This window comes from Homo sapiens, chromosome 11, assembly GCF_000001405.40.
Source record: "Homo sapiens chromosome 11, GRCh38.p14 Primary Assembly".
In the NCBI taxonomy this organism is placed as follows: domain Eukaryota; kingdom Metazoa; phylum Chordata; class Mammalia; order Primates; family Hominidae; genus Homo; species Homo sapiens.
The window spans coordinates 34,054,459-34,072,716 of NC_000011.10; the positions used below are offsets into that span (position 1 = coordinate 34,054,459).

Consider the following 18,258-nt stretch of genomic DNA (forward strand, 5'->3'; position numbering starts at 1 on the left):
ATCTTTTTGCCCAGGCTGGAGTACAATGGCGCGATCTCAGCTCACTGCAACCTCCACCTCCCGGGTTCAAGCGATTCTCCTCCCTCAGCCTCCCAAGTAGCTGGGAGTACAGGTGCCTGCCACCACGCCCAGCTAATTTTTTGTATTTTTAGTAGAGACAGGGTTTCACCCTGTTGGCCAGGATTGTCTCGATCTCTTGACCTCCTGATCCGCCCGCCTTGGTCTTCCAAAGTGCTGTTACAGGAGTGAGCCCCTGTGCCCGGCCTCTTTTTAAAATTTTAATGCAGTAAGCAAGCCTGCTGATCTGGCTGCTACTTGAGTTTTTGATTCTTTAGAATTTCTTGGAAATGTTTTTTTCTAGGACAGTAATTGAACATAAAATATTAATGATTGTGAACATTAATAATGTGTTAATACTAATTATGAACATTAATGATTAGTGATATAAAGTGTAGAGACATTAATGACTGAAAGATAACTCCTCAGAGAAGTTAATATAAAGGTAGGTGCTGATTGGCAGCCAATTTAGTTGTGAGGTGGCTGTTAGAATCTAGTGTTCAAGTACTTCTGAAAAAAAAATATAAATCTAGTTTATAAGCCCCTCCTGAGGACTTGAACCATGACTGGTCATTAAATGTGTATAGGTGTATGTGAATTACTATACTCTGTCATACCCTACCCTCAAGTGATTTTGTTATTTTATTTTTATTTTTTGAGATGAATCTCTGTTGCCCAGGCTGGAGTGCCCAGGCTGGAGTGCGGTAGGATGATCTTGGCTTCCTGCAACCTCCACCTCCCGGGTTCAAGTGATCCTCCCGCTTCAGCCTCCTAAGTAGCTGTGATTACAAGTGTGCGCCACCACCCCAGGCAATTTTTTTTTCTTTGAGAAGTCTCGCTCTTGTCCGCCAGGCTGGAGTGCGACGATGTGATCTCGGTTCACTGCAACCTCCGCCTCCTGGGTTCAAGCGATTCTCCTGCCTCGGCCCCCCGCCCAGAGTAGCTGGGGTTACAGGCACCTGCCACCACGCCCAACTAATTTTTGTATTTTTAGTAGAGACAGGTTTTACCTTGTTGGTCAGGTTGGTCTAGAACTCCTGACCTCAGGTGATCCAGCCGCCTCGGCCTCCCAGAGTGCTGGGATTACAGGTGTGAGCCACCATGCCGGGCCTCCCCTAAAGTCATAAAGGAGAAAATAATGTAATTATTACATAGGTTATTAACTAGGCTAATACATACTGAAAGATTGCCGTGTTAATAATGGAGATTCAACAAACTGCACAAAGTAACTTTTTTTTCTGTCTTCTCAGTGTTTTAAGTGGTAGATAGCAGCAAAAAGGTCAAGTTACAGTTAAGTCTTGAGACTTTGATAAGCCACAGACTGAACTCTACCTACATGTTAAGTAGTTAAGTTGGCAGTATTGATGTTGACTTAATTGCTATTAAAACTATATCTTTTGCCCTTTGAAAAACCCAGGGCATTTGGATTTGCCCTAAATTTAAGCACATCTGGTTTTTAGTTTAAATCCTTTTTATATTTAGATGATTTACTTGTGAGAAGACTTAACTGTTTTTAAGTATAAGTGAGCATTTCTAATGCACTAAAATAGGATTGCTTTACAAATCAGTTTTGAATTCCTCTTTAGAAACCCTTGTGGAGTAAAGTGAGGTACTATTTACAATTAGATTTGTTTTGACTTCAGTCCATTTAGCAACTTACATTTGAGCTTTATTTCAATCTTGACCTATTCTTATCGGAGCCTTCTGGACCAAAATGCTTTTTTTATGGATTTTAAAATCAAATATCCTGGCAAAAATGACTATGGATATGTAGTATTGCTTAAATTAAAACAGAGAATTGAAATAATTTTATTGTACTTTAAAAAACAAAGTTGTTTATTTCCTAATAATTTGAGCCATTAAAGAAAAAGCTAAGCATCTGCTCATTGAGAATGCATGCTCTTAATGTTGATGAAATATGATCGTGTTATGTAATGCAACTAAAAGGCTTGGTGGGTTTTTAAATTCAGGCTTATAAAGAGTACATGAATGTTTAGCAAAGAGAAGAAATACAGCTGTGATAATCAAGTGTAAAATCCATTTGCAAATCTTACAGGTAATATTGAATTGAATGATTAACTGCCTAGTTTTCTTTATCAGTTCATTGGTGCTGAACTGGGCCCTAGGCTATGCAAGATATTTCAAAACCAAGTCTTAATTTTAACTGAAGAGAGACCTCATTTGATATTATTAGATGTAATCAGTTGTGATATAGAATAAAGGATGTTTTAATAGATGACATTTAAAATTGTTATATTCTTTGTGAATATAATAGGTTTAGACTCTAGTGACTTTGGTAGGTGAAAGATTAACTAATGATCACTTGCGTAAAATGCAAAAATAGCCTGACAGCTTTTTAACCACTAAGTGACCAAAACTGATAGCCAGAAGTGTAGTGTTTTTAATACTTTTTCCTGAAGGCTTTCTGCACTTCATCTTTGCAGTTAGTAGTATTCTTTAAAAAGAATGCTGTTGTTGTGAGGGTAACATTTCTTTCTAGAACGTTGCAGTGTGTCTGTGCTTAGAATTTTCATTGCAGCTGTTGTGCAGAACTTATGTGTTCAGTGTTTTAAAATAAAAACATTCTTAACTATTTTATAAGTAAAATCTTTCCTTGAGGCTATTACCTGAAGCCTTCTTTGACATTTAAGATCTCTTGATGTGTTTGCTTTTCCATGGGTTGCAAGAACTATTCTTCTGCAATGCAGAGGGCAAGATTATTTTGCATTCACCTTGTCATAGAAAAAAGCTGTAATGCTTAATTTGTTTCCCTTTGCTTGACTGTGTGTGTTTGTATGTGTAGCACTGGGAAGTATTTAAAGCTGTGAATTCCCCCAAGTGATAATGGGTACCTTTTTCTAGGGTGAGAGTCGAAGCCTAAGTATTACATTGAGAATGTATTGTTTTAACGTGGCCAAATTAGTGTACTCTAGGATACTACCCATGTGGCAGATATTTGAGAATGCATTTTGTGTGACTTACAGATTAAGCATACAATTTGCCAAAATTTTATGTAATTAATTTCCTAGTTTACATTTAGGGCTAGATGAAGACTAGTACTGTTTCATCTTTTAGAAAAACTAACACTTTTCCTTTAGTAAAAGTGTTAATTTTTGCAATACTTTTGCAAAAGGTTAAACTTATAGCAATTTTGTCATAGCTATAATCTTACACTGTTATAAAATTTAGAGGATTTTTAATTTTTATTTATTATCATTATTTGAGACAGTTTTGCTCTCGTTGCCCAGGCTGGAGTGTAATGGCATGACCTCGGCTCACTACAACCTCCCCCTCCCAGGTTCAAGCTATTCTCCTGCCTTAGCCTCCTGAGTAGCTGGGATTACAGGCGCCCGCCACCACGCCCGGCTAATTTTTTATATTTTTAGTAGAGATGGGATTTCACCATGTTGGCCAGGCTGGTCTCAAAACGCCTGACCTGAAGTGATCCACCCACTTCAGCCTCCAAAGTGTTGGGATTATAGGCATGAGCCACCATGTCCGGCCTAAGAGTTTTTTTTTAGAGCTTAAACCACCTTAGAATTTAGTCCAGTTCATTTTATAGAAGACAAAATTGAGATGTTTATATGGAATGACTTAGGTTGGAATGGGTGATTTCCAAAATTCTCGCAGTTTTTTTTGAAACAGAATCTTGCTCTGTCGCCCAGGACTGGAGTGCAGTGGTGCAATCTCAGCTCACTGCAACCTCTGCCTCCTGGGTTCAAGTGATTCTCATGCCTCAGCCTCCCGAGTAGCTGGGATTACAGGTGCATGCCACCACGCCCAGCTAATTTTTGTATTTTTAGTAGAGACGGGGTTTTGCCATGTTGACCAGGCTGGTCTCAAACTCCTGACCTCAAGTGATCTGCACGCCTTGGCCTCCCAAAGTGCTGGGATTACAGGCGTGAGCCACCACACCCGGCCTCTTAAATAATGTTTTATGGGAGTAATTAGAATTTGTAATGTTCCACGGCCTAAGTGTAGTTTTCATGTTTAATTATGTAGAATCAAGTAAAGCCTTTTGCTTCAAATCCTTAGAGTTTTTCTGTTTTAAAAAACTGAATGCAAAAGAAAAATGCTTTCCATTTCCTTATTATTAGACTTTTATTAATGTCTCATTGTTGAACTTTGTGTTTGCATTGTCCGGGTAATGGGGTTCTGAGAATATCGGTAAGGTAAAATCCCAGTGTGTCAGGTATCATTGGGACATCCATATTGTAATGAAATAAACTTTTATAAAGTTAAAACTCTGAAGTTTTTCTTTATGTTTAGCTTCCTATGTACATTTGTCAGACTCTACTCCAGCTTGGTATGTTGTAGACCGGAAAAATCTGGAAAAAGCATTACCAGTAGAGAGAAATAAGAAGTGTGACAACCTTTTCATCCAAATTACTGTATTCCAAGCTTCTGGGTATTTTTTGGTAGTTGGTTCCTTTTTCTGGGGGAAATGAATGGTGTGTGTGTATACAGTATAGAAGAGTGAGAGGAGTAGCAGAAGAGAAATTCATCCAAAGTTGGAACTGTAAATTGCTTTGTTTTAGCTCATTTATTTCTTTCTTTCACTAGCTCTACTACAGTGCTTTTGTTAGATAGACTATGAGTACAAAAACGTGGGTGAAAGATAATTTACTGAGTAGAGTTCAAAATTCAAACTTCCTGAGGAAAGGGGAGGGTGTGCTTCTTGACCATGCTCAGCTAAAGTAGTTTGTTTCCTTTAACTTCCCCTGTTACCTATTGTCTGTACACTTCTTGACATTGTTTTTTTTTTTTTTTTGAGACGGAGTCTTGCTGTGTCGCCCAGGCTGGAGTGCAATGGTGTGGTCTTGGCTCACTGCAACCTCCGCCTCCTGGGTTCAAGTGATTCTCTTGCCTCAGCCTCCTGAGTAGCTGGGACTACAGGTGCATGCCACCACACCTGGCTAATTTTTTGTATTTTTAGTAGAGACGGGGTTTCGCCATGTTGGCCATGCTGGTCTTGAACTCCTGACCTTGTGATCTGCCTGCCTCGGCGTCCAAAACTTCTTGACATTTTTATATTGCCTTGTGTTGTTAACCTTACATGTTTTTCTAAATTGGTAATAAGCTCTTTGTGGGCAGAGACTATTAACATTACTTTGCTGCGCTTTCTCACACATGGTATATGCTGAATAAGTACTTGGTAGTTTGGCCAAATCATTACATAGAAATATCTGTAGCTTCATTAACAACCCTGTTAAAATGGATTAATCCATGGGGTTAGGGAGGAAATGCTTTTTGCACAGAACTATTTACTTGCAGTGTTTTTTTATTGAAATTGATTTTTTTCCTGAAGGGTTTTTTACTTTTTACAGGTGTGTAGAGTTGATGAGTAGGCAAGTAGAAGAATACTTTTTTTTTTTTTTTTTTTTTAAGCTGGGTAGCAGGCTGGGCATGGTGGCTCACGCCTGTAATCTCAGCACTTTGGGAGGCTGAGGCAGGTGGATCACCTGAGGTCAGGAGTTCGAGACCAGCCTGGCCAACCTGTGAAACCCCGCCTCTATTAAAAATATGAAAAATTAGCTGGGCATGGTGGCATGCAGCTGTAGTTCCAGCTACTTGGGAGGCCGAGACAGGAGAATTGCTTGAACCTGGGAGGCAGACGTTGCAGTGAGCCGAGATCGCGCCACTGTTCTTTAGCCTGGGCAACAGAGTGATACTCCATCTCAAAAAAAAAAAAAAAAAAAAAAAGCTGGGTAGCATTAGCAAGATATGTGAATGGTCTTAAGAGAACACAGATAATTCTTATTATTAGAACCATTGTACATTATTGGAAATTTCATTGCATTCTCCTCAATACTGTTCTAAAAATATTTTAATTTTAATTTTTTAGAGACAGGGTCTCACTATCACCCAGGCTGGAGTTCAGCAGGGCAATCATAGCTCATTCCAACCTTGAACTCTTAGCCTTAAGCGATCCTCTTGTCTCAGCCTCCCAAAGTGTTGGGATTACAGGGTTGACCCACTGTGCCTGGCCCCCCTCAATACTGTTATCTAAACATAGAAATAACTGAAATATATTTTAGTCATTAAAAAACCCTTTGGGCTTACACTTTGAGTTACATTGAACTTCTTTTTACATTGTGGACAGGAAAGATAGTAAGCAAAAGTTTCCTCAATTTTTAAAAGGACGACGGTAGAAAGAACACATTGCAATCTATAGATGATCCATGGCAGCTATCTTCAAATGCTGAAAGCTTGCTCATGTAGCAGGAGTCTGTGCTGTTTTAGAAAACGAAAAAGTATTAAAACAGTGATGGTGGGGATGTAATTTTTTTACATTTAACTCCCAAGGAATGTATTAATATAAATAAGTTGTACAGAATTATGCTAAGGAATAGCTTGGTTAAAGCAACTAATATTTTGAAAGATGCCCTTTAAGATTATTTATGGTAATTTGCTTTTCAAATCTAGAAGCTTTAGACTTTTTAAGAATATAGTTCAAAGTAGGTGATGCTGGAACTTGTTAACATTTCTTTTTCCTACTAGAGTCAGCTGCTTCAATTCACTCAGACTTACCTGCATAATTATAACCTTGGACAAGGAATAAAGGTTTTTACAGGATTGGCTTTTATCTTTTTTAAAAAATTGGACAAACGGCTTGTGAAACTAAACTCCTGGATACTTAACCTGCTTGAAAAATTATCTTACAATGGAACCTTAGGTAACATCCTTTTTTTTTTTTTTTTTTTTTTTGAGATGGAGTTTTGCTTTTGTTGCCCAGGCTGGAGTACAATGGCGCAATCTCAGCTCACTGCAACCTCTGCCTCCCAGGTTCAAGTGATTCTCCTGCCTAAGCCTCCCAAGTAGCTGGTATTATAGGCAACCACCACCGCACCCGGCTAATTTTCTGTATTTTTAGTAGAGACCAGGTTTCATCATGTTGCCCAGGCTGGTCTCAAACTCCTGACCTCAGGAGATTCGTCCACTTTGGCCTCCCAAAGTGTTGAGATTACAGGCATGAGCCACTGCACCTGGCCTAGGTTAGCATTCTTATGCCATTCTTAGCGTTCAGAAATCCAGCATTCCTGACAGGTGTTCATTCAGCCTCTGCTTTAACCAGTCTTCCAGGGCCTGGTAGAGTGCTCGTTTCTCAATGAAAATTTGTTTCATTGGTGTGCCACTCTTTAAGTTCTTGGTGGTAGAAGTATATCCTTACCGGCCGGGCACAATGGCTCATGCCTGTAATCCTAACACTTTTGGGAGGCTGAGGCGGGCAGATCACCTGATGTCAGGAGTTGGAGATCAGCCTGGCCAACATGGTGAAACCCCGTCTCTACTAAAAATACAAAAATTAGCCGTGCGTAGTGGCTTATGCCTGTAATCCCAGTTACCTGGGAGTCTGAGGCAGGAGAATCGCTGGAACCTGGGAGGCAGAGGCTGCATGAGCCAAGATCGCACCACTACACTCCAGCATGGGTGACACAGCGAGAGTCTGTCTCAAAAAAAAAAAAAAAAAAGTATATCCTTACCACCACTGTTTAATAGTCTTTGTTTTCTGGAACAGCATAGACTCCCGCTACATGAGCATGCTTTCAACATTTGAAGAAAGCTGCCATGGATCAGCTATGGATTGTAGTGTATGTTCTTTCTACCCTGCTTTTAAAAATTGAGGAAACTTTTGCTTACTATCTTTTTTGTCTTCTGGGGATTTCACTAGCTAACAATACTCAGTTGAATTTGTGGAGGGCAAATAGGAGACAGTCAGCTGCCTACCATTGTGGGCAAAGTCAAAACTCGTAATTGTCTAAGTGAAGAACAGAGAATGTGGGGATTGGGGACTTGAAATAATACCTGGAAAAACTGGTAAAGATTGGACCGGGCGCGGTGGCTCACGCCTGTAATCCCAGCACTTTGGGAGGCCGAGGCGGGCGGATCACGAGGTCAGGAGATCAAGACCATCTTGGCTAACACAGTGAAACCCCGTCTCTACTAAAAATAAAAAAAATTAGCCGGGCGTGGTGGTGGGCGCCTGTAGTCCCAGCTACTCGGGAGGCTGAGGCAGGAGAATGGCGTGAACCTAGGAGGCAGAGCTTGCAGTGAGCTGAGATCACGCCACTGCACTCCAGCCTGGGCGACAGAGCAAAACTCCGTCTCAAAAAAAAAAAAAAAAAAGGAAAACTGCTAAAGATTATGGAAAGTTGAGAGGAAAAGAAATATTTTGTTTTTGCAAAAGTTGGTACAGTACTCTAGAAGTGATTTATTTGGCCTGGATACATAAAGTATAGCTAGGTGCTCTTAACTACTTTGGTTATTTTAGGCTTCATTTTTAAGTATTCCCTCTCAGTTTAGACATCTCCTTATTTGAGAATAGGAGTTACGAAGTTTTCCTGGAAAGCCAAGTTAGTTTTTTTCAGATGTTTCCTCCTAATCTTCCTTCTGACTATTTAAAATTGTCTAGTTGAAGAATTTTTAGGGTTTTTTGGAGTTTATCATCTCTCTTTGCTATTTATTTTTAATTGCATAATTAAAAATTTCTTCTTAAATTTTTTATTTGTGGAATTTGTTGGCTATAACAATAAAGAAGCAAAGCCCAGGAGGACATCTATCATGGATATCCCTCTTCTGGCACCCTAATGGCACCTACTGAACTTAATTTAAAAAATCCATTTCAAGAAAGTAACTTTGGTGGTGATGAAAAACTTCTTGGGAAGAATGGAAGATCTAGATGTATTGCAATTCAGCACAACATAATAATCTGATTGGAGAAAGGAAGAAAACAGCAGCAGCAGAGGCAGAGCTGGAATGTAGCAACAGCTGGAATCCAGAATGACATTCTAAGGGGGAGGGTTGTTAAGGCACAAATGATTTTTCTGGGATTTAAGACCTTACTTAGGTAAGTTATTTAACTGTGTCTTTCAATTTACAGTTAGGTGAAATATGATTGATAGTAATGCCTCCCTGATAGGTTTAGCTACCTTTTAAATTTGAATGTCTGTTACATAGTGAATACTGTCAACTATTAAAAGCAGTAAAGAAACAGGATATAGAGCGAGACTGGATAGCACTTGTTGGGATAATTATTTCCCAGTACCACATGACTCTGACATCTACTGGGTGTGGTCACACCTCTCCCATGATTCCCCCTTAAAGACTCTGGGTAATCTGGGAAATGGCCTGATTTTTATCTTGCTCATATGTGTGCTGTAAATGGATTTTTAATACACTTAGGATACTCAGCTGAAAAGGAACTCTAAATTGAATTTCAAGTTAGAAAGGATCTAAGAGGGCAGGTGTGTGTTATCAACATTGTAACGTAGTAGGCTTTCTGATGAAGATAGTTTTTTTTTGAGATGGAGTTTCGCCCTTGTTGCCCAGGCTGGAGTGCAATGGTGTGATCTCAGCTCACCGCTGCCTCACCCTCCCTAGTAGCTGTGTTTACAGGCATGTGCCACCATGCCTGGCTAATTTTGTATTTTTAGTAGAGACGGGGTTTCTCCATGTTGGTCAGGCTGGTCTTGAACTCCTGACCTCAGGTGATCCACCTGTCTCGGCCTCCCAGAGTGCTGGGATTACAGGTGTGAGCCACCGCGCCTGGCCTGAAGATACATTTTTATGCTAGGAAAATGGTTTCATTCTCTAGGAAAAATACTTAATATCTTATTTTATTTGTTTCATGAGTAGCTGACCAATTTATTGTTACCTCTTCTGCTGCTGTTAGCCATGTTCCAGCCCAGGAAAGAATAAAGCTGTGTCTGTCTGGAGCCCTTTATTACTCCTATCTTACCATTCTGTTCTTAGTATAATGTTGGATCTGTCAATGTGACAAGCTATTCCTTGTATATTCGCTTAGTTCATGCTGTAAATTTTAACACCAGTGGACAAATTTTCTAGTTGGACTTTAATGTAAACCATTTGAATAGGAAGTGACAATAGGAATGAAGCCACTTAAGATGGCATCATTTTTCTCTTGAGTAGTCTGTGCTTTCAAAGATTAGGCAAATTGTATTTGGAGAAGTGCAGATACCATATCCTTTTCCTTATCATGGAAGGCCACTTAAGGAGTAAGCTGAGATTGCAAGCTATAGTAATCTTTATAGCTATAGTAATAGCTACTTTCATTTTGAAAAGTAAAAAATTAGACCAATTGTCGTAAGAGGCTTTCTGTTTATAGTGTACATTTTGGTATTTACCACTTAGTTTAACTTCTGAGGTGTCAGCTAAGAATGCAAGATTTAACAAAAGTACTACTTACAAATGGCAGTGGTATGCCTTTGTTTTTTCTCTCTCACCTCTCCTTCTCAAAGGTGGTAACCCCTAAGTGTTCAGATCATAAACGAGTGTTCTCTTTATGAAATAGTTACTAGGTTAGATTCGTAAACTGGTCTAGAAATCCAGCCACAGTTCAAGTTTTCTGGGTTGTTTAAAGTTTCAACTTTAAAGTTTATTAAACAACTTACTTCCAAATTAAAGCTGCTGTATAATGGTTTTTTTTTTTTTTTTTTTTTTTGAGATGGAGTCTCGCTCTGTTGCCCAGGCTGGAGTGCAGGGGCGCTATCTCGGCTCACTGCAAGCTCCACCTCCCGGGTTCTCACCTTTCTCCTGCCTCAGCCTCCTGAGTAGCTGGGACTACAGGTCCCCGCCACCACGCCCGACTAATTTTTTTTTGTATTTTTAGTAGAGACAGGGTTTCACCTTGTTAGCCAGGATGGTCTCGATCTCCCGACCTCGTGATCTGCCCGCCTCAGCCTCCCAAAGTGCTGGGATTACAGGCGTGAGCCACTGCACCCGGCCCCGTATAATGGTTTTTAAGGTCACTAATCATACCATATGTTTGATTCAGAATAATTTATTTCCAGGTTCTACTGGGCTATTACAAGTTAATTACAATGTATTTGAACGAGATGAGTGTTTCTCAAACTTAAGCATGCATCAGAATCACCCAGAAGACTCAATACCAACTACAAATTGCTGGGTTCCCCCAGCCACCACTGAGTTTCTGATTCAGTAGGTCTGGGGTAGTGCCTGAGAATTTGTGTTTCTAACAAGGTGCCAGTTGATGCTGATGTTGCTGGTTTGGGGCCTACAGTTTTAAAAATCACTGACGTAAACCAACATAGGGTCTCTGCTCTGCAGAGATCTGATTATATATAATAGTGAAACAAAGTCCTTCCCAGCTCAGATTCCATGGTGATAAAGTTCTTTGTATACCTCAATAGCTGAGAGATCAGGAAATCCTATATTTTACTGATAAGGGAAAAACTAGTGCCTTTTAATTAAGTTTTTATTGTCATCCTGCAGTTTTCTTAATAAGTTTTGGTATTTCCTCTTATGAGTGCTGTTTCTTAGAAACTTTGATCAGACTTAGGATCCTGCTTTCCTGAAGCTTAGGCAAGGACAGGGGATAGGATATTTATAATAGTAGTGTAGAAAATGTTAACAGCCATGGAAGAACATGTGTAATGCTATGATGAAACTTTCTTTTTTTATTGTGGTTAGAAAAATGTTATATGGATGACCTGTAGTTTCTTTTGATCTCACTCTTGGTCAGGCTGGAGTGTGATAGCGTGATCACACGTTGAGGCTACTCACTGCAGCCTCACCCTCCCCAGACTCAGTGATCCTCCTACCTGCACCTCCTGGGACTGCAGGTGCGCGCCACCAGGCCCGGCTACTTTTTGTATTTTTTGCAGAGACAGGGTTTTGCCATGTTGCCTGGGCTGGTCTTGAACTCCTACTCTTGAGCTCAGATGGTTTCCTCACCTTGGCCTGTCAAAGTGCTAAAGTGCTAGGATTACAGGTGTGAGCCACTGTGCTCGGCCAAGACCTGTAGTTTCTGTACCTTTTTAATTTATTTTTATTTATTTATTTATTTATTTTTTTTGAGACAGATTCTCACTCTGTCACCCAGGCTGGAGTGCAGTGGCACGATCTTGGCTCTCTGCAACCTCTGCCACCTGGGTTCAAGCAGTTCTCCTGCCTCAGCTTCCCGAGTAGCTGGGATTACAGGTGGCCGCCTCCATACCCGGCTCATTTTTGTATTTTTAGTAGAGACGGGGTTTCACCGTATTGGCCAGGCTGGTCTCGAACTCCTGACCTTGTGATCCGCCTGCCTCAGCCTCCCGAAGTGCTGGAATTACAGGCGTGAGCCACTGTGCCTGGCCACCTTTTTTATTTATTTATTTTTTTGAGACGGAGTCTCACTCTGTTGTCCAGGCTGGAGTGCAGTGGCAGTGGCATGATCTTGGCTCACTGCAACCTCCACCTCCTGCCTCAGCCTCCCGAGTAGCTGGGACTACAAGCATATGCCACCATGCCTGGCTAATTTTTGTATTTTTTTTTTTTCAGTAGAGTTAGGGTTTCACCATGTTGGCCAGGCTGGTCTCCAGCTCTTGACCTTGTGATCCACCCGCCTCAGCCTCCCGAAGTGCTAGCATTACAGGCGTGAGCCATCACACCCAGCATTTTTTTTTTTTTTTTTTAAGACAGTCTTACTCTGTTTCCCGGGCTGGAATGCAGTGACACAATCTCGACTCAGTGTAGTCTCCACCTCCTGGGTTCAAGTGATTCTCGTGCCTCAGCCTCCTGAGTAGCTGGGATTACAGGTTCATGCCACCACGCCCAGCTAATTTTTGTATTTTTAGTAGAGACGAGATTTTGTCATGTTGACCAAGATGGTCTTGAACTCCTGACCTCAAGTGATCTGCCTGCCTTGGCCTCCCAAAGTGTTGGGATTACAGGTGTGAGCCATGGCGTCGGGACCTGTACCTTTGATTTACTACATTTTTTTGACTGGGCAATTCAGTTCGCTGGGTATAAGGAACTGTGGTCTGCTCTTTGAAAATTCTGTAAAAGAGTCTTGAGATTGTTGAGTTATGATTTACATACTTATTTCCTTACAGTAAACTCATCAGTTCTTCACCTTTTAAAAATCTCAGTTATTGGATTGAAACATGAGAAATATGTTAATAGTAATACTAAATCAGAATAAATAGGCATGTGAGCTTTAATAAAATGCACAGTTGTTTTTTTTTTTTAATTTTTATTTTATTGGCCAAGATACTGTGCTGTCACCCAGGCTGGAGAGCAGTCGTGCACATCACGACTTCCGACTTGTGGTCTCGTGATCATCCTGTCTCAGCCTCCCAAGTAGCTAGGACCATAGGCACTAAGTTAAAAAATTTCCACGCCTCGGTAATTTTTAAATTTTTTGTAGAGACAGGTTCTCACTATGTTGTCCAGGCTGGTCTTGAACTCCTGGCCTCAAGTGATCCTTCTGCCTTGGCCTCCCAAAGTGCTGGGATTGCAGGCCTGAGCAACCATGCCTGGCCATAATGTGTAGATCTTTATTTTGGCTATGCAGAGTTCTTTTTGCATACTTTCTTTTGTCATAATGTTCCATGAAGATGTGTACCATGAAGCTGAGTTTCACATACTGGCTGTTTCCCTTTTCATTTCCCCTTTAACCTTGTTCCAGTTATTGCCGTGTAACAGATTAATCCAAAATTTAAGGGATTAAAACCATGATTTTCTTATGCACAAAGATTCTGCCTGTCAGGGATTCAGACAGGGCACACAGGAGTTTTGATGTTTCTGTTCGATGACACTGGGGGCCTCGTGGGAAGACTAAGACTTGTTCATTCATATGTTTGTTGCTTGGACTAAAATGAGTGGAACCACAGGGATTGCTGATCAGAAGCAAGAGGCCTTTCTTCATGGCATGGCTTCCTCATCATGTGGCAGTCTCAGAGTTACTGTATTTGTATGATGGCTGAAGGCTCCAAATACAAGGTGTTTGGATCACCAGCAAACAAGGCAGAGATAGATTGCTTTTATGACTCAGCCTTGGAAATCATACAGCATCACTTATACAGTACTCTTGGTTGAAGCTCACTCAAGTACAATGGCAGGGGAAGTAGACTAGTTGTTAATGGAGTAGTGCCAAGGTCACATTTTAGAACAGTATGTGAGACTGCATGCAGATTTTGTAGCTATCTTTGGAAAATGTAATCTGCGATAGCTCTCGGTTTGGATGAATTCTAAATTTGTTATTGTGTAGAAAATTGGAGGTTTTCTACTCTAGGATAGCTTGTCCTACTATAGGATAGTATAGGTTCATAATTAAGGATTGTTATTGGTGAGAGTCCTAACAATGTACTGAAGTCTGTCAATTTTAGTATCTTTTCTGTTGCGTGGAATTCTTATTGTTTTCATTAAACAAACTATATGTTCATTGCACAGTAGTTAAGTGTATAAAACAAAGCAAAAGGAACACAGCTCTGGCTATAATTTTACCACTCAGGTACCATTCTTACCTTTTTCATTGTTTATCTTTTTATATTTATTTTCATCGCTACACAAACATTTTTTAGGAGTTTGATTCTACCTCCATTTTGGTTAGATATACAAACTCTACCCCATGAGGGATGTATGGTGTATTTCTAGATTTAGCAACAATTTTCTTGAAAAATGTACAATACTATAGAAAAATGAAGATAGTAAATACCAGGTATAAGTTAATAACAGTGTTTCTTTTGTTCAGTAATAATGAACTGTGTACTAGCACTGAACTTTAGGCCCTCCTATTTGCGTATTTTCTGTTTGTATATTTTTAAATAGAGGAATTGTGATTATAATATTATTATTTTGGAATATCCTAAATCATAAATTCAAAACTTATTTAGTTTTTTTTTTTTTTTTTTAAGATGGAGTCTCGCTTTGTCCCAGGCTGGAGTGCAGTGGCATGATCTCAGCTCTCTGCAACCTCTGCCTCCCGGGTTCAAGCGATTCTCCTGCCTCAGCCTTCTGAGTAGCTGGGATTACAAGTGCGCGCCACCATGCCTGGCTAATTTTTGTATTTTTGGTAGAGACGGGGTTTCACAGTGTTGGCCAGGCTGGTCTTGAACTCATGACCTTGTTATCTGCCGACGTTGGCCTCCCAAAATGCTGGGATTACAGGTGTGAGCCACCGGGCCTGGTCTAGTTTTTTATTTCTTAAAAATAGCCTACCCTTTAAGCAAATAGAATTTTTTATTTTAAAAATTTTTAGCTTCCCAAGCTTATGAGTCTTCCCTTTTCTTCCCTTTTAAAAAAGAGAATGAACTATCTGTTGATCCTCAGAGTATTTTGTGAGGTAATTGGACACATCTTCTGCACCTGGGGTCAGGTCTGTCATATCAGTGTAAAAAAAAATTTTTTTCCCTCAAATCAGTAGACTGAAATTTTATACCTGTTTATTTGGAGGCTTATAGATGGTGTGAAATAGTTCATCTAATAATAAAATTGGGTACTATTAAAAGCCTTTAATGTCTTAGTGATTATCTTGGTTTTATTTACCTCCAGTGTTAGGAAGGAATTGTGGTAGGGTTTTCAATTTGGGGTAGAATGGCTAGGCAAGTTGACATTTGTTTATGGTACAAAGAAAATAGATCATTTGACCTAAAAAAAAAAAAAAAAAAGAAAAAACAAAACTTATTACCATTGCTTTTAAACTGGCTTCTGTGGTTTCTGAATGCCCTTTATTAGAATTTAACTTTGTACTTTGTTTCACAATTTTATTATTGGTAAGGGGGTAAGGAACTATGTATGTTCATAATTTATTGGGATTAAGTGTTGTCCTGTTAATTTAGATTTATCCTCATTCACTGTCCTCTTGACCTTTACAATAATAATAGTTTGTGACTCTGTTGCATTACCTGAATATCTGTGGGGTCTTACTTAATAGTAGCCTGGGAAACCTGCAAAGTTTTAATCTTAGCAAGAAAATGGGATCTTAAACCAGATGTTAGTTTTCTGTCCTCACCCTTGAACTAACAAAGCAAAGCTGTTGACTTGTGTATTAGTGAGGTGGTAGCTATCTTGTTCAAGATAAATGGATGAAGTACATTAAAGACAATATGCCCATGAGTTTATTCAGAAAAAAAATACTTTTTTTCCCCTTGGGGTGGGGAGCAGCATCTCACGCTGTCGCCTAGGCTGGAGTTTTGGCATTATTTCAGCTAACTGCAGCCTTCACCTCCAGGGTTCAAGTGATTCTCCCACCTCAACCTCCCAAGTACCTGGGACTACAGTCTCGTACCACCATACCCAGCTAATTTTTGTGTTTTTTGGTAGAGATGGGGTTTCATCATGTTGGCCAGGCTGGTCTTAATCTCCTGACCTCAAATGATCCACCCACCTTGGCCTTCCAGAATGCTGGGATTACAGGCAGGAGCCACCGTGCCTGGCCCGAAAAAATACTCTTTTTTTTTTGGATGCAAAATTTCACTCTTGTTGCCCAGGCTGGAGTGCAATGGTGCGATCTCGGCTCACCGCAGCCTCTGCCTCTTGGGTTCAAGTGATTCTCCCGCCTCAGCCTCCTGAGTAGCTGGGATTACAGGCATGCACCACCATGCCCAGCTGATTTTGTATTTTTAGTAGAGACGAGGTTTCTCCATGTTGGTCAGGCTGGTCTCGAGCTCCTGACCTCAGGTGATCCGCCCACCTTGGCCTCCCAAAGTGCTGGGATTACAGGTGTGAGCCACCGTGTTCAGCCTAAAAATACTCTTATATCACCTAGTCACATGAATTCTTTGGGGAGAGGGAGAGGCAAAAATTTAACTTGATAAATGTCTGATATGCTCACTTGGGTATAAGCAGGATCCTAACCAAATTGTGGCCCTTACCCATGTGGGTAGGAGCCATATGCCTAGTCCATCTAATACTCTTTCTTGATTAAGCTAAAGAATGAATAATGTTGTGCCATTGGTTTACAGTACAGCCTTTGATATCATTCAGCAATGGTTGGAGTATATCTAAAAAGTTTTATGTACTTAGGCTGGGCGCGGTGGCTCATGCCTGTAATCCTAACACTTGGGGAGGCCGAGGCAGGTGGATCACCTGAGGTCAGGAGTTTGAGATCAGCCTGGCCACATGGTGAAACCCTGTCTCTACAAAAAATACAAAAAAATTAGCTGGGCGTGGTGGTGAGTGCCTGTAATCCCAGCTACTTTAGGGGCTGATGCAGTAGAATAGCTTGAACGTGGGAGGCAGAGGTTGCATTGAGACAAGATCGTGCCATTGCACGCTAGCCTGGGTGACGAGCGAAACTCTGTCTCAAAAAAAAAAAATTTATGTACTTAAACTGGAATATATCTTAAAAGTTTATTTAAGTCAAAATTTGAGACAAACTTAGAGGATTGTGAGGGTTTTGTCAAGCATGCTTAAGCTGGTATATACCTTCAAAACGGAATGTAATTCTTTTTTTTCTTTTAACATAGGGTAAGCTTGATGATTACCAGGAACGAATGAACAAAGGGGAAAGGCTTAATCAAGATCAGCTGGTAAAGATGTTATATTTTTTATTTTAGACCTAATGCTCACTATTTTAAAGACAAAAATTAATTCTGTGGTTTTTTGTCTTTCCAGTAAAGTTTGGGTTCTTTGTCATTTTAGGATGCCGTTTCTAAGTACCAGGAAGTCACAAATAATTTGGAGTTTGCAAAAGAATTACAGAGGAGTTTCATGGCACTAAGTCAAGATGTAAGTAAAAGAAAGTATACATATTTATGAAATACTTTTGTTGTTTCTTTGGGTTTTAGTCCTTCCATTACTATTGATAAGCTCTCTGCAAGGTGAGACAGTTGTATCCAATTATATCTAAGATGCCTTCACATTCTGTAAAGTAAAATGTAACACCTGAAAGATGTCTTTTAAAAATACTAAGTTTGAAATTGGGGGCGGTGGCATGTGCTTGTAGCCCTGGCTCCTCAATAGGTTGAGGCCAAGAGTTCATGGCTGTGGTGCATATGATTGTTCCTGTGAATAGCCACCGCACTTCAGCCTGGGCAACGTGATAAAACCCCATCTCTAAAAAAAAAAAAAAACATTAAATTTAAAAATTTTTTTAAAAGGACCAAGTTTGAGATTTGACAACCATGTATAGTAGCTATGCTAAAGGTCTCATTGGTTTAAAATGTTAGCTCTGCAAATACATAAAAATCAGATAGTCATTAGAAATACATAAATGTTTTTTATTTATCATGTTCCTTATGTCTAATGACTCACAATTTAAACTGTCAGAAAATAAAGAGGCTCGTTTATATAATTGGTAATTATTCTCTGCTTTAGGAACCTTAAGGGGTATGGCAAACTGATGTGCTCCTATATCAGCACTCGATCCAACTTAATAGTGGGTTTTTGATGTGACAAAAACCTTTGGGAATAAGGACAAAAGTTAAATGCAAGCAAAGTCAGATAATTTGTTGAGGC

At 40.0% G+C, this 18,258-nt stretch overlaps 1 protein-coding gene and 1 long non-coding RNA gene across 6 annotated transcripts in view; both read left to right on the top strand.

The window, feature by feature from the left end:
* Positions 1 to 18,258, top strand: part of CAPRIN1 (cell cycle associated protein 1) — a 50,880-nt gene that overhangs the window by 2,728 nt on the left and 29,894 nt on the right. For all 5 annotated transcript variants that reach the window (NM_005898.5, NM_203364.3, XM_047426960.1 and 2 more), the window contains 2 exons: positions 17,268 to 17,330; positions 17,443 to 17,529. In NM_005898.5, the coding sequence (NP_005889.3) occupies positions 17,268 to 17,330; positions 17,443 to 17,529 (150 nt within the window). The remainder of the gene's footprint in view (positions 1 to 17,267; positions 17,331 to 17,442; positions 17,530 to 18,258) is intronic.
* On the top strand, positions 6,020 to 9,773 carry LOC124902660 (uncharacterized). The gene is made up of 2 exons (XR_007062651.1): positions 6,020 to 6,733; positions 8,594 to 9,773. It is a non-coding gene; the product is annotated as an uncharacterized LOC124902660 (long non-coding RNA).